The sequence below is a fragment of the Homo sapiens genome, chromosome 20, assembly GCF_000001405.40.
Source record: "Homo sapiens chromosome 20, GRCh38.p14 Primary Assembly".
In the NCBI taxonomy this organism is placed as follows: Eukaryota; Metazoa; Chordata; class Mammalia; order Primates; family Hominidae; genus Homo; species Homo sapiens.
Genome location: NC_000020.11, coordinates 56,624,165 through 56,647,390, shown reverse-complemented (window position 1 = coordinate 56,647,390; position 23,226 = coordinate 56,624,165). Strand labels below are relative to the sequence as shown.

The 23,226-nt window shown below is 51.1% G+C and overlaps 1 protein-coding gene across 1 annotated transcript, besides 5 other annotated features; it reads right to left on the bottom strand.

The window, feature by feature from the left end:
• Positions 1-8,107: 8,107 nt before the first annotated feature.
• On the bottom strand, positions 8,108-18,085 carry TFAP2C (transcription factor AP-2 gamma). Its single transcript, NM_003222.4, has 7 exons — positions 17,799-18,085; positions 15,701-16,186; positions 15,535-15,586; positions 13,822-14,038; positions 13,123-13,241; positions 10,637-10,781; positions 8,108-9,663 (listed from the first exon to the last, which is right to left on the bottom strand). The coding sequence occupies exons 1-7, from the start codon at positions 17,844-17,846 to the stop codon at positions 9,378-9,380; spliced, it is 1,353 nt and encodes a 450-aa protein (NP_003213.1). The 5' UTR covers positions 17,847-18,085; the 3' UTR covers positions 8,108-9,377.
• Positions 9,833-10,593: an enhancer, noted in NCBI's record as "OCT4-NANOG-H3K4me1 hESC enhancer chr20:55211854-55212614 (GRCh37/hg19 assembly coordinates)". NCBI's record gives its function as "activates a minimal SCP1, AML or CMV promoter by ChIP-STARR-seq in naive H9 embryonic stem cells {active_cell/tissue: H9 hESC(naive)}" and the evidence as "EXISTENCE:reporter gene assay evidence [ECO:0000049][PMID:30033119]".
• Positions 17,764-18,058: a silencer, noted in NCBI's record as "tiled region #3831; HepG2 Repressive DNase matched - State 20:ReprD, and K562 Repressive non-DNase unmatched - State 4:PromP". NCBI's record gives its function as "represses a minimal TATA promoter and a strong SV40 promoter by Sharpr-MPRA in HepG2 and K562 cells {active_cell/tissue: HepG2 | K562}" and the evidence as "EXISTENCE:reporter gene assay evidence [ECO:0000049][PMID:27701403]".
• Positions 18,115-18,174: a silencer, noted in NCBI's record as "silent region_13058". NCBI's record gives its function as "represses an Ori minimal core promoter by ATAC-STARR-seq in GM12878 lymphoblastoid cells {active_cell/tissue: GM12878}" and the evidence as "EXISTENCE:reporter gene assay evidence [ECO:0000049][PMID:35858748]".
• Positions 19,538-20,298: an enhancer, noted in NCBI's record as "H3K27ac-H3K4me1 hESC enhancer chr20:55202149-55202909 (GRCh37/hg19 assembly coordinates)". NCBI's record gives its function as "activates a minimal SCP1, AML or CMV promoter by ChIP-STARR-seq in naive H9 embryonic stem cells {active_cell/tissue: H9 hESC(naive)}" and the evidence as "EXISTENCE:reporter gene assay evidence [ECO:0000049][PMID:30033119]".
• Positions 21,823-22,585: an enhancer, noted in NCBI's record as "H3K27ac-H3K4me1 hESC enhancer chr20:55199862-55200624 (GRCh37/hg19 assembly coordinates)". NCBI's record gives its function as "activates a minimal SCP1, AML or CMV promoter by ChIP-STARR-seq in primed H9 embryonic stem cells {active_cell/tissue: H9 hESC(primed)}" and the evidence as "EXISTENCE:reporter gene assay evidence [ECO:0000049][PMID:30033119]".

The following is a 23,226-nucleotide window of genomic DNA, read 5'->3' as shown; positions in this document are numbered from 1 at the left end:
GCTACTCGGGAGGCTGAGGCAGGAGAATCACTTGAACCCGGGAGGCAGAGGTTGCAGTGAGCTAAGATCACGCCATTGCACTCCAGCCTGGGCAACAGAGCGAGACCCCGTCTCAATAAATAAAATAAAATGCTCTTTATCGTCTGGCTCCACCACTAGACCAAGCTCCCTGCCAGCAGGGCCAGACTCTACCCAGTTCACACCTATGCCCCCATGCTTAGAACACAGCCCAGCCTCCAGGAGGTATTCAATAAACATTTGTTGAATAAATGGAAACACAACCAGCAAGACTTCACCCCTCCTTGCCCCTCCAAAGTGAAGAAGTACAGAGAAAGTTGTGCTCAGTGCTCGAGAGAAATGGACGGAGCTGGAATTACACACACACAACCCAGTCTATTCAGCAGCCAGTGGCTGAGTGCTCCCTTCAAAACACAAGATTCGGAAGTTTCTGTGGCCCAAACCCCACTGGCTTCCCCATGTCCCCGGGGGTAAGATCCAGAGTCTGCGTCCTCCCTACATCTGCTGTTCACCCCACCCTCCCCACTCCAGCCACAGGGTCCTTTCTGCTCTCCCATGAAAATCCCAGCACACCCCCACCTCAGGGCCTTTGCACATGCTCCTCCCTCTCTGGGATTCCCTCCTTAAGTATCTGCACTGCATGCCCTCTCATCTTCCGGCTTTGGCTCAAGTTTGTGTGTGTGTTCTCACCTGGAACATTTATTTTTATTTTCTCTAACCATTTGTTAAGAACAGATTCTAGAAACCAAGGCACAGAGGGACTCACTGAGAGACCTGGAGATCCTAAGTTTGGAAAAGATGGGAGGTTTGAAGGAAGCAGGATAGCAGCCTAAAAATACATGAAGGGGCAGGGTGCAGGAGTTAAGGCCTGTAATCCCAGCACCTGGGGAGGCCGAGGTGAAATTCTTTCTGGTGGGCCGGCCCCAATCCACACATGGCCCTGAGCCCTGAAGAGGCTCTGGAAAAGGAACTGCCCATAGACCCCACCCCATAGCCCAGGCTCAGCCGTATGATTCAATGTGGGTGCTTACTGGGCATTGAGCTAGTGCGTGGAGAGACCCTAAAGCACAAGACAGACATAGCTCTGGCCCTCATGACCTCAGGGTCTACTGAAGAAGCCAGACTGTTTGTTTTGTTTTGTTGCTTTTTTCTGTTTGTTTGTTTTGAGATGGAGTCTCGCTCTGTCGCCCAGGCTGGAGTGCGGTGGCGCGATCTCGGCTCACTGCAAGTTCCGCCTCCCGGGTTCAGGCCATTCTCCTGCCTCAGCCTCCTGAGTAGCTGGGACTACAGGCGCCCGCCACAACACCCGGCTAATTTTTGTAATTTTTTTTTTTTTTAGTAGAGACGGGGTTTCACTGTGTTAGCCAGAACGGTCTCGATCTCCTGACCTCGTGATCCGCCCGCCTCGGCCTTCCAAAGTGCTGGGATTACAGGCGTCAGCCACCGCGCCCGGCCCAGACTGTTTGTTTTTGGGATAGGGTCTCGCTCTGTTACCCAGGCTGGAGTGCAGTGGCACCATCACAGCTTACTGCAGCCTCAACCTCCTGGGCTCAAGGGATCCTTTCACCTCAGCCTCCTAAGTGGCTAGGGCTACAGGCAAGCACCACCAACCCTAATTTTTTTCATTTTTATCTTTTTGTAGAGACAGTCTCCCTATCTTTCCAGGCTGGCCTTGAACCACAGTGTCCCAACTGCTTGGTGCCCTCTGGGTGCAGTAGGAGCCCAAGAGCAGGAGGACATCCCCTGGAGAGGATGCTGGGGACACAGAGCAAGTTACACCCCTCTCCAGAATGGATGTGACTCAATAACATTTTTGAACTAGAAGATGGAAGGCAGTGGTCCCTAAACTCAGCTCATGGTCAAGATCACCAAGTCTGTTTTTAATAAAATACAGATTCCTGGATCCTAAACCCAGAGTTCCTGATTCAGTAAGTCAAAGGCCACACAAGGGCATCAATATTAATCCTTCCACACACTTCTGGTGACCTGATAGGTTTAGTCACTGTTTGGAGGGGATACCTTGAAGAACCCAGTTAAAAGAAACAAGCAGACCGGGCGCGGTGGCTCATGCCTGTAATCCCAGCACTTCGGGAGGCAGAGGCAGGTGGATCACTTGAGCCCAGGAGTTCAAAACCAGCTTGAGCAATAGGGAGAAATGCTGTCTGTACACAAAATTTTAAAATTAGCCAGGCATGGTGGTGCACACTTGTGGTCCCAGCTACTTGGGAGGCTGAAGTGGGAGGATCCCTTGAGCCTGGGAGGTCGAGGCTACATTGAGCTAGGATTATACTTCTGTACTCCAGCCGGGGTGACACAGCAAGACCCTGTCTCATTAAAAAAGCAGATATGGATTTATTGTCTCACAGCTCTAGAGACTAGAAATCCAAAATCCAAATCTCAGCAGGGCCGTGCTCCTTCTGAAATCTGGAGGGGAGAATCCTTCCTTGCTTCTTCCAGCTTCTGGTGGTAGCTGGCAATCCTTAATGTTCCGTGGTTTTTAGCCACATCCCCCTACTCTCCACTTCCCCTGTCACATAGCATTATCCCATCTGTGTCGTCTTTTTTTTTTTTTTTTTTTTTGAGATGGAGTCTCGCTCTGTTGCCCAGGCTGGAGTGCAGTGGTGCAATCTCGGTTCACTGCAAGCTCCGCCTCCCGGGGTCACGCCATTCTCCTGCCTCAGCCTCCCAAGTAGCTGGGACTACAGGCACCCGCCACCACTCCCGGCTAATTTTTTTGTATTTTTAGTAGAGACAGGGATTCACTGAGTTAGCCAAGATGATCTTGATCTCCTGACCTCATGATCCGCCTGCCTCAGCCTCCCAAAGTGCTGGGATTACAGGCGTGAGCCACCGCACCCGGCTTATTTATTATTATTATTTTTTGAGTTGGAATTTCACTCTTGTTGCCCAGGCTGGAGTGCAATGGCACAATCTTCGCACAACCTCCGCCTCCCGGGTTCAAGTGATTCTCCTGCCTCAGCCTCCCAAGTAGCTGGGATTACAGGCGTGCACCACCACGCCCGGCTAATTTTGTATTTTTAGTAGAGACAGGGTTTCTCCATGCTGGTCAGGCTGTCTGAAAGAACTCCTGACCTCAGGTGATCCACCCACCTCAGCCTCCCAAAGTGCTGGCATTAAAGGCGTGAGCCACCACGCCCAGCATCTTCTGATAGAGTCTCACTCTGTCACCCAGGCTGGAGTGCAATGGCACGATCTCAGCTCACTGCAACCTCCACCTCCTGGGTTCAAGTGATTCTCCCACCTCAGCCTCCCAAGTAGCTAAGATTAGGCACTCACCATCACGCCCAGCTAATTTTTGTATTTTGAGTAGAGACGTGGTTTCACCATGTTAGCCGGGTTGGTCTTGAACTCCTGACCTCAGGTGATACGCCCACCTCGGCCTCCTAAATTGCTGGAATTACAGGCATAAGCCACCGCACCCAGGCTTATTCTCTTCTTATATGAACATGTCTTACTGGATTAAGGCCTACTCTACTCCAGTAGGACCTTGGCTCAAATTACCTGCACCAACCCTATTTCCAATTAAGGTCACATTCTGAGGTACTGGGAATTTAGGACTTGAACAAATCTTTTGGGGGCAGCATTCAACCCACAACAACTGTGAAGTCCCAAATGCTTTCCAGCCTCAGCAAAGGCCAGATGCCAAGGTGTCCTCTTCAACTCACCCACGTTCACATTCTCGTAGGGAGTGTCACTCCTGAAGGCCGAGATCTTCCTGGAAAACGTTGAGAAGCCACAGTAACACCACATGTGTCTTGAAACACACACACACACACACACACACACACGGACTTGACCTCGTAAACATTCCTTGGACAGGACCCTGGAATTATGCCTTTCAATTCTATTTGGTTTCCGTGCTTTTCTTCTACCCATTTCCCCCATCTAGATGTTATCCAAAAGAAGTCAGGAAATTACAGCGTTTATGCCTGTGCCAAAAATAATTGAGCGTTCCATGCAACTATGGGCTCTAACGTAAGAGTTACTTTTTGTAAAGCCTAAGGTCAAGTTTGTTTCTGCAGAAGATCATGTTACTAGCAGACAGAGACCTTCAAGGTATGATCTGCCTTGTATCAATATGGACCTTGTGCATGACAGCAGTCTGTATTGGCAAACCTGGGAGGGGTGAGGTTTTGATGGCTCCAAGCATCATCAAGACTCCCAGGGTGGTGACCTGTAGATTTCAGAAAAGCAAATGAGGACTACTAATATGGAAGAGAAACCCATGGTATACTGAGATCTGAAAAAGTTAAGTCAACAATTACCATTATCAGCTGGATGCAGTGGCTCACGTCTGTAATCCCAACACTTTGGGAGGCCAAGAAAGGCAGATCACCTGAGGTCAGGAGTTCAAGACCAGCCTGACGAACATGGTGAAACCCTGTCTCTACTAAAAATACAAAAATTAGCTGGGCATGGTGATGCACGCCTGTAATCCCAGCTACTTGGGAGACTGAGGCAGGAGAATCGCTTGAACCCAGGAGGCAGAGGCTGCAGTGAGCCGAGATTGTGCCATTGCACTCTAGCCTGGGCAATAAGGGTGAAACTCCATCTCAGGAAAAAAAAAAAAAAAAATTACCACTATCATCCAAGAGCAAGATCTACTCCTGGGAAGAGCGTATCCAAGCATTGCAACATCAAAATGCCAAAAGCAAACCCTTTGTCTCTAAACAAGGGGAAAACTCGTACTGCCCACTGAGCTTAGCTGGCCAGGGAGGACTTTGCTAAGGATCCCGACTTCACTCCATCACCTGTCAAACACAAGCAAAAGAATCTCAGGGCTGTTCTTCCCCTTTGTGGCAACAGCAGCTGCTTCCAGGTTCTTCACCTACTTGCTAAGGAAGGCAAATTAAACCGCCACCCCATGATACCCCCTACCAACTTGCAAAAGGAAAAGACTGGAAAACGTTCAGAAGTCCTCGGAAGTAACAGCAACCTCCTTAATAATGCACAGCAGCCAACGTTTCCCCAGGGAATCTCGATGGGCTCCAGAAACCCAACCACTGCCAAGTCATCAGAGAAGTTTCTCTTTGTTTCTCACCCACCCATGACCCTACCTTGTTTTGTTTATTAACATTCAAATATAAGAACCTTTGGTCTCAGAGCTTACTGATACTAGACCCCCAAAAAGAAAAGAATGATGGCCACTGCATGGAATCATTTCAATGAGAAACAGACCAGTCATCCCTTTTCTAACCCACAACTTAAATTGTGCACACATGGAAGGTAAGACAACCAAGAACTGCTATTGAAAACACTCTCTCTGCCCTTTCAGGAAATCTATAGGTGCCCCTATCTGCAGGGCCCGGGGCACCTTCCAAGTGCCAGGTACCCAGATGGCCAAAGTACCCAGTCAACAGATGGGCAATCCCGCCGACAGTCTCTCTCACATAAGTGGAATTCTAGGCAGTATATACCCTTCAGACAACTGATGGGGTTTCTTTCAGTGCAACCAGGGAAAAAAAGGAAGCGTATCTTTATTTCTTCTGTCAGAGGGCCAAGACATCAGTGATATCATGTGCCTCCACAGCCAGTGTGCCACAACAGCACAGGGCAAGGGGAAAAGGGAGGGTGATTCCCACTAACATGGGGCTTGAAACAAAACCCACTCTGGGCCACGAGAAGCGAGGGTCCACCAACCTAATGCCAAAGGGCACTGCACCCTTATTTCACAAGTAAGCAAGAGTTTCCAGAAAAATCTGCAAGGGAGGGCTGGGCGCGGTGGCTCACGCCCGGAATCCCAGTACTTTGGGAGGCCGAGGCAGGTGGATCACGAGGTCAGGAGGTCGAGACCATCCTGGCTAACATGGTGAAACCCCGCCTCTACTAAAAAATACAAAAAAATCAGCTGGGCGTGGTGGCGGGCGACTGTAGTCCCAGCTAGTCGGGAGGCTGAGGCAGGAGAATGGTGTGAACCGAGGAGGCGGAGCTTGTAGTGAGCTGAGATCATGCCATTGCACTCCAGCCTGGGCAACAGAGCGAGACTCCATCTCAAAAAAAAAAAAAAAAAAAAATCTGCAAGGGAGCTAATGTTTCAGTAGGATCCTCTTGAGGGGACCTGGTTTTTGGCTACAGCATCAGCTCAGGTGTTGGGAAGAAAAACTCATTATCGTGCATCAGACTCAAGAGCTCAGTGGCAGTCCCCAGACTTCCAGTGGGGATGTGGAGAAAGAACCCGGCAAGTAAGAAGCACTGCTTGGGCGGGCGTGGTGGCTCACGCCTGTAATCCCAGCACTTTGGGAGGCTGAGGCAGGTGGATCATGAGGTCAGGAGATCAAGACCATCCTGGCTAACAGGGTGAAACCCTGTCTCCACTAAAAATACAAAAAAAATTAGCCGGGTGTGGTGGCGGGTGCCTGCAGTCCCAGCTACTCAAGAGGCTGAGGCAGGAGAATGGCATGAACCCGGGAGGCGGAGCTTGCAGTGAGCCGAGATCGAGCCACTGTACTCCAGCCTGGGCAACAGAGTGAGACTCCATCTCAAAAAAAAAATAAAAAAGAAGCACTGCTTGTGATTCCCTTCAATCCTTGGTTGACTTTGGGGCGTTTCCAGAACACTGACTGCGTTGCAATTCAGCACAGCTCCTAAAAGCCAGACTCTGGTCCAAAAGCAAGTTAAGATGCTGATAACAGAATAGCCCTTTTTCTTTCAGCCCTTTGCCCCCATAACTTCCTCTTAACACTCAACATTTCAAGCCTTGATTGAGAGATAACTGCCAACCTAAGATCTCTTTTCACCACTCCAAAGCAAAGCAATTGTGATCTTGTCATATCAACCAGATAAATCCAACTTAATGGGAATGCTTGGTGGCCAAGGACAAGATGCCAAGAGCAAAGCACTGGGTTGGCAGAGTTTAAGTTACTTAATAACATCCAACGCCAACATTAAGTCAGGAATCGTTGGGCATTTGGTAGAGAATTATGAATTAAAGATTATAAAACTGGCATTGAAGCAATGGTCTTATCCAATGGGGAAAATCCTACGGCTCCCAGTTCCCTTTGAAGCCAGGCCACACATGGCAAACTCTAAACACATCACTTCCTGGAGGAGATGCCAGGCTGCTTCAACTCGAGATCAAGTACCTGCCGTGTGCATCACAAACATCCAGCAAGTACATAACCCCTGCCAGACTCCTCTGCTCCTGGAGTAGCACAAAGACTCAATCTCTGGTTTCCCCTGCAGGCAGATGAAATGAAGAGGATGTCTTGGGTGGATGAGCACGATCTCATTTCCAAAGAGAACTTAGATGAATGGAAAACACTGGCATGCTGCACGTCCACTGCTTGCATTCGACTGAATGCCAAGTCCTCCTAAGAAACACCTGCCCAGCCTGGCGCGGTGGCTCACGCCTGTAATCCCAGCACTTTGGGAGGCCAAGTCGAGCAGATCACCTGAGGTCAGGAGTTCGAGACCAGCCTGGCCAACATGGTGAAACCCTGTCTCTACTTAAAATACAAAAATTAGCCAGGTGTGGTGGTACGCACCTGTAATCCCAGCTACTCAGGAGGCTGAGGCAGGAGAATCGCTTGAACCCGGGAGGTGGAGGTTGCAGTGAGCCGAGATTACACCATTGCACTCCAGCCTGGGGCCAAGAGCGAGACTTCATCTTAAAAAAAGAAAAAAAAAAAAAAGAGAGAAACATCTGCCCAAAGAACACCCATAATCATTTCACTTCCATTCTTGACCACTATACAGTATGCTGAGTACAGTATGCCAGTGTACCTGTCCTCAATACAGTAACCTTCCATGAGACATTGTTCCCAAAACATTGGCCCCTCTTAATGTCAATAAACTGTCCCTCAGACATTTCCCAACACCTCCAGGGTGGGGAGGATGATTCTATCCCTCTGCAGTTGAGAGACACTGATGACAGCATAAGGCCTGGGGTAGCTGAACAGTGTCGCTAGGGAGAAAAGGTGAAACTTCAGGTTCCTCCCCAACAGCACACAAAACTTGCCTGCTCAGGGCATTAACCAAGCCACAGTCAAGCCATAAATCAGCTCTGCCCTAATTCCATTCACCCAAAAGACTTTAAAACAAAAGCAAAAACAAAAACCTATAGCCAGACTTTCAGATTCTAACAAGAATACTTTTATTATACACGTATCATACACACAACAATTATTTGGGGAACATTTACAGGCAGAGAGTTCAATTCCAAATCTCCATTTCACCCACACACACTGTACTGCACACTCACCTTAGGGTTCAGCCCAACAGGAACGAGACAAAGTTATTGCTTTCTGAACAGAGAGTTTCAATTAAATAGAATCTTCCAAGCCAAGAACAGAGCCCAGCATCCTCTTAATTCTTAATACCCTGTATATATATGAATAAAACCTTATGATGTGTTATAGATTACCCCATCACCATTAAAAGTTAATATTAAAATTGGATCCCATGTCTCAAAAAAGTCGTAAGAAGTGCACCAGTATTTACAGACCCCATTAAATTACGCATAAATAAAATCTGTACACTCAACGCACTGTTTCTTAAAATACAGAACCTCCACGGGGACTTGGGGGTGACAAGCAGCAACAAATTGCTTCGTGCCTACCCTTTTCAAGTTTACTCGAAACATCTGAAATAAATATGCAAATAAAGCTTCAGTACCTTAAAGGAACATGTCATTTCAAAGAGTCTCCCATTTGAAGAGTTAACTTTCAAAGTTAAAAAAAAAAAAAAAAAAAAAGGAGAAAAAAATCAATCAGCAGGCTTCGTTTCTACAAGTTTCCTAAAACCAGAAGGCCCCCGTTTGAACACGGGGTTTAGAGTGTGTCAGATACCACTTATTAACTAGTTGCTAAGCAGATAGAACCTTTGCCTCCTACCAGAGGACTTGATCTCTGAAGAAGCTAGATACACACTTTTCTTTTTTTCAAGGTAAATATTTAGCGGACACAAAAACCAACCATTACCTTAACACTGAAAAAAAAGGTATTGTTGATCTGTTGATCTAGGGCACATCAATTTGACATTTCAATGGCTAAGTGTGTGGGTCTGTTGGCCCAGGGAATGTATTTAAAAGATTCTAAAACTTATAGCACCACTTTCAGAGAAGGAAAGAATGGGGTTCAAAAAAAAAAAGCTTAATGAATAAAGAGCCAGTACTTGTCACCTTCTGATAATAGGTCCAAAGTTAGGAGATAGCTCAGCGCTAGAGAAACAACTAAGAAGTCCAGGGGCGGGTGATGCAGAACCAGTGAAGGCTCTTTAAATAGTAAGGTAGGTAACAAACTCTTCCCCCAGGCCAGGAGGGGTTCCCAGTCTGTGCGGTGGAGAAGGATTTTTGCAGTCCTGTTCCTTCCCTACTCTCCTAACCTTTCTTCGTTCCAATTTTATTTCCTGTGTTTCTCCATTTTCTCCAGGGTTTTGTTAGAATCAGCTGGACTCTGGTCTCCAGGGTTCATGTAGGATTTGTCTATGACAATCAGGGCTTCTTTGATGTAGTTCTGCAGGGCAGACACCGCGGCACAGATGGCCTGGCTGCCAAACCCGTGGGTAATCAGGCTGAAATGAGACAAGCAGTTCTGTATGTTCGTCTCCAAGACTGGGGCGAGCCTGCTGGTCCCATGGGGTGTCCGGTCTTGGCTGAGAAGTTCTGTGAATTCTTTACACAGTTGCCTGTGAAGACAGTCAGTTGACTCGATGAGTTCCATCTAGCTCCTTACAGGTCAAGAGCACAGAACCAACTACACTGAGGCTGGCGCCCGGGAGGCAAGCACAACTGCTTCAACCCGAGGAAGGAGAATTTAATACTAATAGCCAACTGCTGCGCTTAGCAACTATTCTGCGCCAGGCTCTGAGTTAAGCTGTTTTAAAGCACTATCTTATTTAATCCTCACTGCAATTAGAAAAGACAACAGGATTAACTTAACCCCAGCTAACTGGCCAAGGTCACCAGGACTGGTAAAAGTAATGGGGCCTGGATTCCAACCCATGAGCTTAAGGGACAGTTTACCTTGGTACAAGTTGGTTCCAATAAACAAATTCCGTGAGGAACCGGGAGAAGGAAGCATCCCCCTGAAATTCTGACTCCTGACACAGCCTGGTTCACTGCGCTCTCTTTTACCCCATTTCCTGGCTCGACTAGTTCTGCTTCATTTACCATCATTTTCAAATCAACTTACTGTTGGTTTCTATGAGAAAACCCACAGCTGCATTAAGTCGTTTTGGAGACAGTTAATTTGCCCACAAATCCACCCTGATCTTTACATTTGAAAGACAAAAGTCTTGCTATCAGGAGGTAGAAGGCACACAATCTCTCTTTACTGGTTGTGACAAAACAAATCGGGTTTTCAACACATTTTTGTAAGATATGCTAACACAATAATGAAAGGGCAGCTCAACTACTTTGGGTTGAATAACTAAGCAGCTCAAAAATACTCATGGCTGAGTCATGCACTCTTCTAAATCATACAAAAAGTTAATGTATTTGACTTTGTAAAAGAAGCTCCCTTGCCATTTTCTTTTGCTCCACCCTAATTTATTTCAAGAATATTTCTTTGTTGAGCCATCGGGACTGTGGAGGGGGAATCTTCTCAACCTCAAGGTCTAGAGCATTGAGTCATCATCAAATTCAAGTTCAGATACTTACTGGGCCGCCAATAGCATGTTCTTCCTAGCTGCCATCTCATTTCGTCCTCCAAGATGAGGTCTGGTTAAATATTCTGCCACTGGTTTACTAGGAAATTCGGCTTCACAGACATAGGCAAAGTCCCTAGCCAAATGAACAGCTTCACCTAGAATAATCAGCAACAGCTTTTAGGATGGCTGTGGTCACTGAGGCCAAACTGCCCTTTTCCTCTCTCTTTTTTTTTTTTTTTGACACGGAGTCTCGCTCTGTTGCCCAGGCTGGAGTGCAGTGGCCCGATCTCTGCTCACTGCAACCTCCACCTCCGGAATTCAAGCAATTCTCGTGCCTCAGCCCCTGAATAGCTGGGATTACAGACATGCACCACCATACCCAGCTAATTTTTGTATTTTTAGTAGATACAGGGTTTTGCCACATTGGCCAGCTGGTCTTGAGCTCCTGGTCTCAACCAATGGCTCATGCCAGGGATTATAGACATGAGCCACAGCACCCAGCCCCCATTTTCTCTCTTTCTAGTAGTATTCATTGTCTACCAGTCATACGTTGCATGCAAGAACGAAATCATATACAGGGCAGACAACTCAGCTGGTAGGTAGAACTTTCTAGGGATTCTCAGTAGGTCCTCCACCCCAGGAATAGAGGGTGGAGATCACACAATGTGAGCAGAAAAGACCCTGAAACTTCTAACTGCACAATCAAGTCAGCCCTCTGTATCCGTGGGTTCAGAATCTGTATTCATCCAAACTCAGATTGAAAAGATTCGGGGGGGAAATAATGAATGGTTGTGTCTGTACTGAACACACACAGACTTTTGCCATTATTCCCTGAGCAATACAATGTAACAACTATTTACATAGCATTTACATAGTATTAGGTATTATAAGTAAGTGATGCAGAGATGATTTAAACTATACGGAAGGATGTGTGTAGGTTATATACAAATATAACATTTTGAACATCCTCAGGTTTTGGTATGGGACCTGGAACCAGTGCCCCATGGATACTGAGATGAGTAAACTTGAAAAATGTTTACCAGTCCTCTGCTCAACAGATAATCAAACATACCCATGTTTTCTCTTTATATTAAGTAGTATCATTTTGGGGAAGTAGGAAAATTTAAGGGCTATAAACATGTTTGACAAAAGCAAACTAGTCACTTCTCTATAAAATGGTGACATCTGACAGCTTACTTTTTTTTTAATAGTGCCTTTTTACTGAAGGGGCAGATCTCTAGAATGTTTCTTTTAAAAAAGATGGGAGGGATGTTTCTCCTAAAAACCAACTTGGAGCACCCTTTTCCCTGTCCAAGTCAGTGGAAGAGCTAAGGGAGGCAACCAAGAGAGTTTCTCCCACCCAAGAGGTACCTTCCCTGGCTCCAGGGTGCAGGACTGGTGAGCTTTGCAAAAACCCAGATGGTGGAGGGGCCCCCTGGGTTGACTGAAGCAGCCTTGGAGAGCCATTGTTCTGGAGCACACTTTCTTATTCAATCACCCTGCCTGGCTAGCAAGAAACCCCAGCAGAACCGCCGATTCTACAGGCAGGACAGCTGTTCTCAGACAGGCAGCTCCTTTCTCCTTGCCCTGACCTCCAAAGGCACTCGTAAAAGGTAAAGCAGGGACTCTGCCAAGTCTCTTTGAGCACCACGTCACGCCATCAGAGCAAGGAAAGAAAGTCTTCAAAAGAGGGTACTGCCACGGGGAGCCCGTTTCTCCTTGGCTTCCCCTGCCCATAGTGAGAGCCCTAAGCCTCTCTCAGCGTCCAACTCTTCCCGGGAGCAGTAACAACATGCTTTGTTTTGTTTTTAAAAAATTATTTTACTTTCCCTTCAGCTCCTTTTAAAGGTTGTGTTGCATTCTTGGCTACTGTCCAGGTTGGGGTAAAGGGGCCCCCCATTCAAGAAACTGAAATGCTATGTCCTACTATCTTAGCACTGGCAAGAGGAACTTGTGCGTGGGCCAGGGGTTCGATTAGTTTTTTTCTTTGGATGGGAGGGAAGAATAGAATTGTGAATCGGGCCAGTCGTATTGTATACAAGAGGTTCTCTTCACTGACCACAATCCCCAGCTACAAAATAACCCACAGCTACAAAAAACAGAAGCAGTACTTCTGCTCACCAGTAAGTAACCAGCTTTTACTCAAGGTGTACCAAATGATCAGCTGTTATCTTCCAAAAAAACTGGTTCATTTAACAGGAAATGCCGACACCCCTAGAGTGTGATTTCTTAGGTTAGGAAAACCAGTTTCTTTCCAACATTGATTCTCTGGGGGAATACAGAAGAGCCTACCTGAGCAACCAGATACTTAAATGTTAACTTATTCGATAAAATTAACTGTGATTCATTCCAATAAACTTAGAGAACAATTCCAATTGCTTTCATCTCTACTTGCAACCAAGTTTTAAGAGTTGTTTTCCAGTTTTTCTGCAATAAGTATTAAAGACACAGGCACAAATTAAAAACATCACGAACCAAAAACAAAACCCCACTGACCTTCTACTAAGGATGTCAGGAGAGTCACATGAGCGGCTTTCCGCCTCCCGGCCGGAAGATTCAACCCAATCTTGTCCAACTTCTCCCGCAAGGACCGGCCTCCATTTTTCGATTTGGCTCTAAGAAAAAGAAAAATTGACTCTGGCTACTCTCAAAAACAAAAACACATACACACGCACACTTTAAAAATTCTAAACTCCTAAAGTGCTGCTGTCAAAGCTGAAACCCATCAAAGACTATCTACATCACGTGAACCATAATGAAAAGTGATAGCAGGGTCCTCTTTCAATTAGTCCCCGTAAGATACAAAATCAATCTTTCCTAGCATCCAACTCTGCATCACCGAATATTTCAAATTGTATGGGAGCAGACAAATTTTCACTTGTGAAACTACAACGGCCCCACAAAAACTCCCTGGGGAACAAACCCAGGGTGCTCCCCCCACCTCCCCTCAATACAGATGCTATCACTTCATACATGGGATCAAATTCTAACCAAGTGAGAATTTGTGAGCGTCGTTTTAGCACTTCCTCCCACATTTGGCACTTTCTAAAGGAGAAGAAATGTACTAAAACTCTAACCCGATTAGAATTCAGTGTTAGGCATAAAGTCACATAAATGTTAAAAATACCTCCTGGGCCTCTGATACACTCACCTTCAACTACCCAACCACTATGCCTAGAATTGTGCCCCAAGTACCTTCTGAGAACACCTCCCAGTAACGAGGCATTTAAGCATTCAGGTGGGGACAGTCGCCTCTGTACTTCAGCCACTGTCACTTTGTATTTAGACGTAGAGCTGAGGAGCGACAATCTTCCAGGGACTGAGCAGAAGACCTCAGTGGGGTTCATTACGGCCCCCACCAGCTCCTTCTGACAGGGGAGGTTCAGAGGGTTCTTGGTCATGGAAATGGGACCTGTGAATGAAGGTCAGAGCTGGCAGTCACAAGAGCTCTCTCTGAGCAAAAGAGACCTTTTCAAAACCAATAACCAAAGCTGAAAGTGATCTTTAGACAAGCATCATTGCACACCCCACGATCAACTGCAGGCTGACTTTATTTAAAAAAAAAAAATAATAAGAGTCTCACTCTGTGGCCCAGGCTGGAGTGCAGTGGTGTGATCTCTGCTCACTGCAGCCTCAGCTTGCGGGCTCAAGTAATTCTCCAGCAGGTGCCCACCACTACATCCAGCTAATTTTTTGTATTTTTAGTAGAGATGGAGTTTCACCATGTTAGCCAGGCTGGTCTCAAACTCCTGACCTCAAGTGATCTGCCCACCTTGGCCTCCCAAAGTGCTGGGATTAGAGGTGTCAGCCACTGCACCTGGCCATGGCTGACTTTTTAAAAAAGCCCCCTACTTCAGAGACAAATCTAATCTGAAATTCACAAGTTAACACCTTGGGAAGTTAATTAGTGAAGATCCAAAGCTTGGAGGGTTTCTTTTTTTTTTTTTCCTAGCAGCTGCTGAAAACTATTTAATTAGAACATTTGTTTTCAGAAGACTGCTTCAATACTAAATAAACGGTGAGTTTTTTCCCCTCAAGAACAACCAAAATCATAGGACACATTAAGATTCTTTCCAAAATTTTTCAGTGCAGTTGATCACAGTAAATTTAATCATCCAAACTAATACGTTCTAAGTTTACTGAAAATTTGTAGTCTTTTCTGAGTTTTTCTTTAAAATCCATTTTTCCTCCATCCTCAATCCATTTAAGCAGTTCAAGTAACAGGCCAAAACTACCTTCAATTTAGGCCTACTCTATTTCCCAAAACAGTCAAAATGGTAATCCTGGTAATCCTGTCAGTTAAGTAACTTAATTTCATAAACCACTCACTCACCAAGTAATCCAATTTTCCAAATCCCCTCCTCCCCATCCTGCAAAACTCTCCCTCTGACAGATCATTCCAAGCTCTGTTCCTTTTACAGGTATTCATTTGGTAGGCCAAATTGCTTCAAAACTTTTCTTGCAGGTCAGAATTAAGGAGGTTTTCCATACACGTGTTTGAAATCAAAAATAAAATCACAACTTATTCAACAATTAAAATTGTTACAGAACCAACCACTCAACGAAGGTGTGCCTGTGACTTTTTTCTTGTTGTTTTTCAAGTTAAATCAGTGTTCACTCGCTCTGGAAGACTTTCTCTCACATTGTGAAACACCCACTGGAATTCATGGACATTTTTCCAAGAAAAAAAACTAGGCAGTAACAACTCCGGAGATGAAGAGACAGCTCCTAGGAGGTCGGAGGGAAATCCCTTTCTGTCACTCCTAAAATCTAGCTTCCATGAATCCCTTTCAGTCCCTTCTACCACAAATGTCCCACGCTGGCCACCAAATACCCCCAACCTTGCCAGTCAACTTCACAAGCCCAGATCGTGTGACCAGAGTTAGACGATGCCACCTTGCTATTTACCTTTGCGAATGACTGTCTGATCGTGCAGCAACAGGTGCTGGTCGTCGACATTCTGGGGGAGAGAGGACAAAATTCCCTTAAGTTCGGGGGAGCCTAGAGGAGTGCGGGGTGGGGGCAGAAGGCCGTAGGGTGAACAGGTCCGGTCAGGAGCCGCAGCGCCGCTCACCTGCACCTCGTCCATCTGGTGAGGCATGTCGTGGAGCCCCAGGTTCTCGGCCAGGCCCGCGGCATCCAGGGCGTGTGCGTGGGGCAGCAGCAGGTCGGAGCGGCGGTAGGCATCCCTGCGGGCGCTCACCGCGCCCGCCTCCAGCCCGGAGAGGTGGGGCAGTAGGCCGGCCGGGCGCCCGTGGTGCGAGGGCAGCCCCGCTCCCTCCTGGCTCTGGCGGCCGGGCCAGGCCTGCTGCTGGCTGCCTGTGGGCGCCGGCTGGTGCAGGGGGTTGATGGCGGCGGCGTACGCTTCCCCCAGATGCGAGTAGGGGTCGGCCGACTGGGAGTAGGCCAGCTGCTGGTAGGGAGGGGGAAAGTAGGGTGGCGGCTGATATTCGGCGACTCCAGTGTGGGAGAGGGGTGGCGCGGGGCTGTAGAGGTGCTGCCCGGCGGAGGAGAGGTGGGGGACCCGCGGATTCCCATTGCTGCTCCCGTCGTGGCGATCCTGGAGGGAAAAAAAAAAACAGGAGACCCCGTTAGTGCGAAACCCCGCTACTGCGAACTGGCCGGCATCGCCGGGCTACGCAGAGGGCCCCGGGGGACCAACCGCACCCCGCCCGGCGGGGCTTGCCCAGGGTCGGAAGGTACCCGGGGGCAATGCGCCCCGAGGATTTCGTTGTAAGCAAAGAGTGCGGGGAGGGAGGAGAGTCTGGTGAAAGACCTGGGGGAACGAGTTCTCAAAGCCCGGCGGCGAAGGTCTAGGCGCTGCTCCCAAGCCCGAGGCGCTTGGAGGCGCCAAGTCCGAACCCTGGGTCTTGGGCCAGAAAAGTCCGTGGCCGGAGCCCGGGGCGAAGGAGCCAGAGCCCGGGGCGAAGGAGCCGGACGCCCGGTGCAGAGCTATCTCGTGGAGCCCGCCCATGACGCAGGGACTGCTGGAGGTGGCAGCGCGGCAGGCGCGGATAGAGTGCGCGGCGCGGGAAATGCGCACCTCCCCCGCCCCCGGGACCCTCCCTTCCACGCCCTCGGGACAAAGACCTCCGAGCGGGCGGCGCTCGGAAAGCAGGGCCCGCCACCCTGCGCCGCCCTGGGAAGTGAAGAGGGAGCGCGCGCACAGGGCGGCCCTCCCTGCTGGCCGGGCCCAGCCGAGGGGAGTAATAAGTGGGGGCGCCCTGCACTGCCAAGGGCAGTGTTCTCGCACGTCGGGGCGCAGAGGGGGCATGAAGAACCCTGGAAATTGGGCAGCCTTGCCCGCGCACGTTCCCTCGCCCCTGGGCGGCCCGACTCAGTTTCTAAAGGATGCGTCCCCATCTGCCCAGGGGTCTCGGGGCGCCGGGAACCTGGAGGAACATGGCGCTGTCGCCTCCTGGCGGAAGCGCCCGGGCCTGCGGGCAGGGGCAGCCCTCCAGGGCCCGGAGGCGCAGTGAACTCCCGCGAGTCCGTAGCCCGAGCTCCGCGCTCCCGGCGCCCCTGAGCTCGCCTAGCGCTGCCTGCGTCTTCTTCCTCTTCCCGCTCGCCGCCTCCTTCTTCCCTCCCACTCTCCGAAACTCTAGCTCAACCTGTCCGACAGGCTGGAGCACTCGCGAGCTCTTACGGCCCCATCTGGCCTCGGGCACCCCCACCACCACTCCCCAGCCCCCACTTCTTTTGAAAGCCAAACTTCGGTTGTTTTCGTGCTTCCCCGAGGAGGTAGCGGGGCAGGTGACAAGCCGGCCTTGGAGGAGTGTCCGCCAAGGTGTCGCTAGCAGGTAGCCTCATCTGACCCCTTTGGACAGAGACTTCGTGCGTAAAAGCCACGTCTGAGGGTTGCAGACGGGGCACTTTTCCGAGAAAACGGGAAGCAGGGCTGTTTGCCGCTTAGGAAAGCGCCCGGTAAGCTGTGTGGGTGGGATTTGCCATTCTCTTTCCAGGCCTCGTTCCCGAGGGGAGGCTATTTAGGAAAAGGCCCTATACAGGAAAGGGGCCCCGCAGAAATGGACTAAGGGGTGTCCGGAGAAGTGGATCCCGTCCCACCGAGAGGCCAGGGCTCCTATGCCCTCGTCCCCGACCTCGGTCCAGTGGCCCCTGCCTCCCGGACTGTCCTCGGCGGGGCGGGGCTGCACCCCGGAGCCCCAGCTCACCTCGCAGTCCTCTTCGTACTTGACATTATCGGTTATTTTCCACAACATGGCGTCCGGCGTCCCCCAAAACAGTCGCCAGTTAAATCCAGGATCCCCCCAGCCCCCAAGCGGTAAATCCAAAATCGGGGTCACGGTGACCAGGCGTCTGCCGCCGCCCCCGCCGCGCGCGGGCCTTGCTGTCCGGGTCACTGGACACGCATCGGCGGCTCTGCGAGCGTAGATGCTGCCGCCGCGAGTGTCAAGACCGCTCCGCGGACGGGGAAAGCCGCGCCCGAACAGTGTGTCCTGGCGATAGCCGGGGGACCCGAGCGCCTTAATGAGAAGGAAATTATCATAACTCCTCCCCGGGGGCCGGCGCGGAGGCCCAGGCGCCGGGCGGGGCGGCCCCCAGCCAGTCCCAGCCTAGCTCCGCCCCGCACCCGGGCCTGGCGCAGCGCCGAGCCCCACGCTGTGAGGGACGAAGCGCGGAGTCAGTGGGCGGTGCCTCGTTGACAGCCGAAGACCTGCGAGGCCTGGGTCCCCCGACGCGCCTTCCTTCTGTCACCTCCACCGTAAACACACCTGAGATTGGCAGAGCTGGGGGAAGGGATCCAAATACTGAAACCCACCCCTCTTTCGCCTAAACGGCCTTCACTCGTTCCTCCAAAAGACGGATGTCACCTGGAGTTAAGAAACTGCGCATTTGGGGAGCGACTCAACAACCGGGGTCTCCTCATCTCCTAAAAACACATCCCATCCCACCTACACCCCACTGAGGCTTAAGGTCTGAGCTGGGATCATGCAGCTGGAGCCCCAGTGCGCCAGAGACGCCCAGTTCCCTCCGTGGGCACAGCGCGGTCCCGGCCCCCGGGCGGGAGGAGAGAGGAAGGGACTCCTGGGGAGTCTGCCCCAAGGGCCGCAGAGGCAGCAGACGGTCCTACCCGCCCAGGAGTTGCGGACAGCGGCGTCTCGCCGCTGTCGCCCGAAGTGGCATCTCCCGCGGCTGGCTGAGGCCAGGGGGAACCCGCGCGCACTGGACCAGCCCAGCGGCCCGGCCCTGCCCTGCCCTGCGGAACGCCGGCTCTGCAGCTGCCTCTGGCGGGCCGGTCACTCAGAAGCCTCTACTCGCCCTGGGAAAGAAGCGCCGGGCAGGAATAAAACCCGAGCGCCACGGGTAAGGTGAGGGTGAGGAGGTGCAGGAAGTTGGGAGAGAGCCTGCAGAGAGCTCTCGACTGGAGAGGTAGACACCCAGGTCCCACATGTTTAGACAGAAAACGAAACTTCCTTCCACACAAACGCTGCTTCCCTCTCCCCTTCGGTACTTGCCACCCAAACTTGAAAGCAAAGTGCAATACTAATTTTTAAAATTTAAACTAACGAAATTCTTTGGCCCAGTTATTATGCAGCAATTGACTTTCATTGTAAGGGGAACATCGCTAATTCTCGAGGGCGTATTTGTTGGGACGCCCCAACTGGCTCCCTGGGCTGGATTTAAACATTCTGTGGGGATTAGAGGACAAGACTATTTCTATTTGATACTGAATACGATTTTGCAATAATCAATGCCTATCAGTACGGTGTCCGCACCTGCAGTAGACATGACTCTCCCATCCACGGAATGGCGGCATCCACTGCCTCGCTGTTCCTTCTCGGGTTCGTTTGAACTTTAGCATTTATTTAGACCCAGGTGGGCCTAAAAGAAAATAATAATAATAGGCGTCCTCCAAGGGAAACTTTCCCCCGGCCTTAGACAGCAGCCAAATCCCAGGTGATTTTCCGACCGGACGCGGGAACAAAATCTGGAAGTTGAAACCACTGAGACTTTTCGGCCAAGCATATCTGCAGGGCTTTGCACTAAGGAGAACAGTGCATAAAAAGACACACAGGACCCTGACACTTCGGTCCCAAAACAGGCTTCTGGGGGTAAAATAAGTTACCGCAGAAGCAGCGCTCCTGGTATTAGCGGCGGGGGAGGGGGACACCTGCCAGAAGCAGAAATTAGACCCAGGCCCGCAGGCACTCCAGAGCACAGGTCCAGGAAGATGGGTCCTAGACTCGCCAGAGGTGCGGCGCCTCTTTCGGGCGCCTGGGACTCCCTGACGGGTGCCGCTGGGCTGTCCGACATTCTGGGCCTTCTAGCCCTCGGTTTTATTCTCTGACCCGGCCTGAGGTGCAGCTTGAACAAGCTGTCTTGTCTGTGCTGGCAAGTTTACCTCCTGCACGCTGGGGCCCGGAATGGGCAAGAAGGTGCTCATCCCCCATCCCAGGCCCTGGCTCTCCTTTCCCACAGCAACACTAGCCAAAGCTGCCCGGAGGAACCGATATGCCTCCCCGCCTGGGAGCGTCTACGCAGGAGGCGAAGGGAGCCGATGGGCACTGAGGGCTCGCGCAGCACCGTGCCGTGGGCCCAAAGGACCCAGAGGATCCGGAACCGCTTGGCAAAGGCCATTCATTCCCAAGGAGCTTCCCTGGACCCCGGCGCTGCCCTCTTTCCAATGGGTAAGCGTTCGAACTGGAGCGCAACCTCCGCGCCCTCTGTACGGAAGGCAGCTAGAACAAATCCTCTGTCTTCTCGGCACGGGAGACCCTTCCCCAATACGCACATTCTCGGCTTCTGGGCCGGCACCCAGGCACGCGCGCGCCCTTGTGAGGAAGCCTCAACCCTTCCTTGACTTCAACTTTTCTGCTCAGCAGAGCCGGGAACCGAAGGCTCCAGCATCCAAGACAGCCTCCCTCCAACGTCCCCGCCCCTTGCCCACGTGAAGACGCGGACTGCGTGGCCGCGCTCAAGACAGCCGGCACCGGCAGAAGGGGACCCCTCTGGAACCCCGGAGGCCTCGCAGCCGCCTGGAGAAGAGGATGGAAGGTTGTCGGGGGTTCCCCTCTACCGCCCCCTAGGGAGCCTAAACTCACTTACTCCCTGGAAGCCCTGGACCCACGCCCCTATGAAACCGCAAACCAGGCCTCTGCAACAGCGGGAGCGCCCCAACAGCGCGCCACTTCCAAAGAGGCGCGAGGTGGTGCCTTTGGAAACAGGGCTCCCGGCCCCAGGCCTGAGTCATCCGCCACCCCTGCCCCCACCCCAGACGGAAGAAGGCGGCCAGGCGGGTAGAGCAAGATTCGGGCAGATCTGCGACTCCTCTTCCCGCCCCAGGGAGGGGACTCCCGAGCAGAAGATGGAGGCCCCCGAGCGCTTTCGCAGACTCCGCGCCACGCGCCGGACGTTTGTCCCGCCTCTCGGGACAACGTGAGCGCCGGTAGGGACCTCAGTAAGTGGCAGACCCGCCAGGATCAAGCAAGGTGGAAAGGCCGGGGCCTGCGGCAAACCCAGGAGGAGGGGGCATTCACGCCCGCCACCCTCCCTTCGCGGCACTGGCACCCACTGGACCGACACTGGCGTCAAAGGGCACCCTGAAGTATCTATGTCCAGTAAGGGCATGCCCTGGGGCACCACAGACATCAAGTCACAGCCACTCCAAAATAATTACAAAAATGATTATCGTAAATAACAGATTGCTTTAATAGGGCGCGAAGCGGCCGCCGCATACAGACGCCTCTGGTCTCAGTCCCACCAGATTCAGTTCACTGCTCGCTTCTTTGCGCTCCGCGTCAGGCCGCATGCTCTTCGTTTAGAACCTTTTGAGCCTTAACTCTTCCTCTCAAACAACTCCTTTTTTCAAACAGGCAAAGTGAGGCGAGGAGCTGAGGGGCTCACAGGTTCCCAAGCTTCCGAGGAGGGCCCGGGTCCACGTCAGTCCCGGCCCGCCAAACGAGACTTCGTGGGCACAGTCTCTAACCTGACAACCACCTGTCCCATTTCACAGCAGGCAAAAGTGAATTTTTAGTCGCCCAACTACCTGAAAGCCACAAAGGTGCCTAGGGTTGAAGGCCACTTTCCTAGCGGTTCTACTAGGGAGCCCGTTAGAGACATGCCTGACTCTCCCCCTGCCCTGCCCCGGGGGGGACCCCCGCCCGCCGGAGGCCTCACACGCTTGGCCGTGGGATGGTAGACTCCTGTCACCTCTCCACTAACATCCCGGAGCCCATCCGTACGCACCCTAACCGCTCGGAGCGCAGGCCCGAGGACTAAGGCGGTAGCCTCGTGTCCCCTGAGGCCTTCTCCGCTCCGTGTTCTGGGTCGCCATACACTTCCCGGCTAAGCCCGGCGCCTTTAACTCAGAACTTGGTCGCCTCCAGGCGTGGAGCAGGCCACTGTTGCCAGACGCTGCGCGGACCCGTCTTCCTGCGCCAGTACTGGGCGACAGGCAGCCCGGGCAGCACCCAGGAGCCACCCTGCACGGCCCCAGGCGCCCGTCCCACCCAGCGCCACCCCTCGCCCTTCGCAGCGAGTCCTCCCGCAGCCTCTCCTCTCTGCTAGCCCCCGGGGTCGCACCTGCCCTCCACACAGACACCTCTTTTCTCACCCGTAGGAACTGGAAGCTCATGGTGCCAGCTCTCCAACCCTCTGTGAGTTGAGGAGTTTAAGAGTAGGAGAGACGTAGAAAAAGAGTTCCCCGAGGGCCGAGTCGTGTGCGGTAAACACACGCTTCCAGCGTTTATTTAATTAACGGGAGGGGGAGGGGAAGGGGGGAAATTCACAGCCAAAACGAGCTATCGCGATTGGAAGACTGGCAGGAAAGGTCCTGGTTACTCCTCCCCTGCCCTCCTCCCCTTGGAAACTATAAACTCTGCATTTGAAAAGGGTATACCCTAGGGTTTTAAATTATCTTTACATATGTATATGACAAGCGGTACGTAGGACTTCTTCAGTCAGAAATTATTTTAAATGTAGCCTACCTCTTACTGGCAAGGGATTTTTTTTTTTAGTTGGTTAGTTTCTAAGACCAAAAGTATTAACATTTCTGGGAATTCTCAGCCTTCATGTCACATCACAGGTTTCCGGGTTCAGCTGAAATTGAACCAGGGGTAGTGAATTCTTGGGGTAGGGGAAGAAAGGGAGTGGGGTTTGGGGTCTTCCTTAAGTGCCAGAGAGATTGGTTTGCACATTACATGCTAATTTGCCTTAAAGAAAGGGGCAAAGTACATGGAAGGAAGGAAGGAAGAAAGGAAGGTAGGCAGGCAAGCAAAAACCAAGAGCCCAGTAAAATAGAATAAGAAGACTGTAAACACAGAAATAAATGCTGATGGTTGACTCTACCATCAGTTTAAACATCCCGGGACCCACTGTGATCACCCAGGCCAGGCAGGAGAAATCAGACTTGTACAGAAGCTGCTTCTCATCATCTGAGTTCTTGCTGGTTTTCACACAAAACCTGCCCAGGCAACCCAAACAGCTTCCTTCCAAGAGAGGTGAGTTGAAAACTTATCCAAGATTGCTCTACATATGCCTTAGAAGAAATAAAAAAGCAGCAGCAGGCAAGCAGAGTTCCACCCACCTGCTGGTAACCTCTCCCAGAGTTTACCAGTGCCCCAGTAGCCTTCAAAGGCA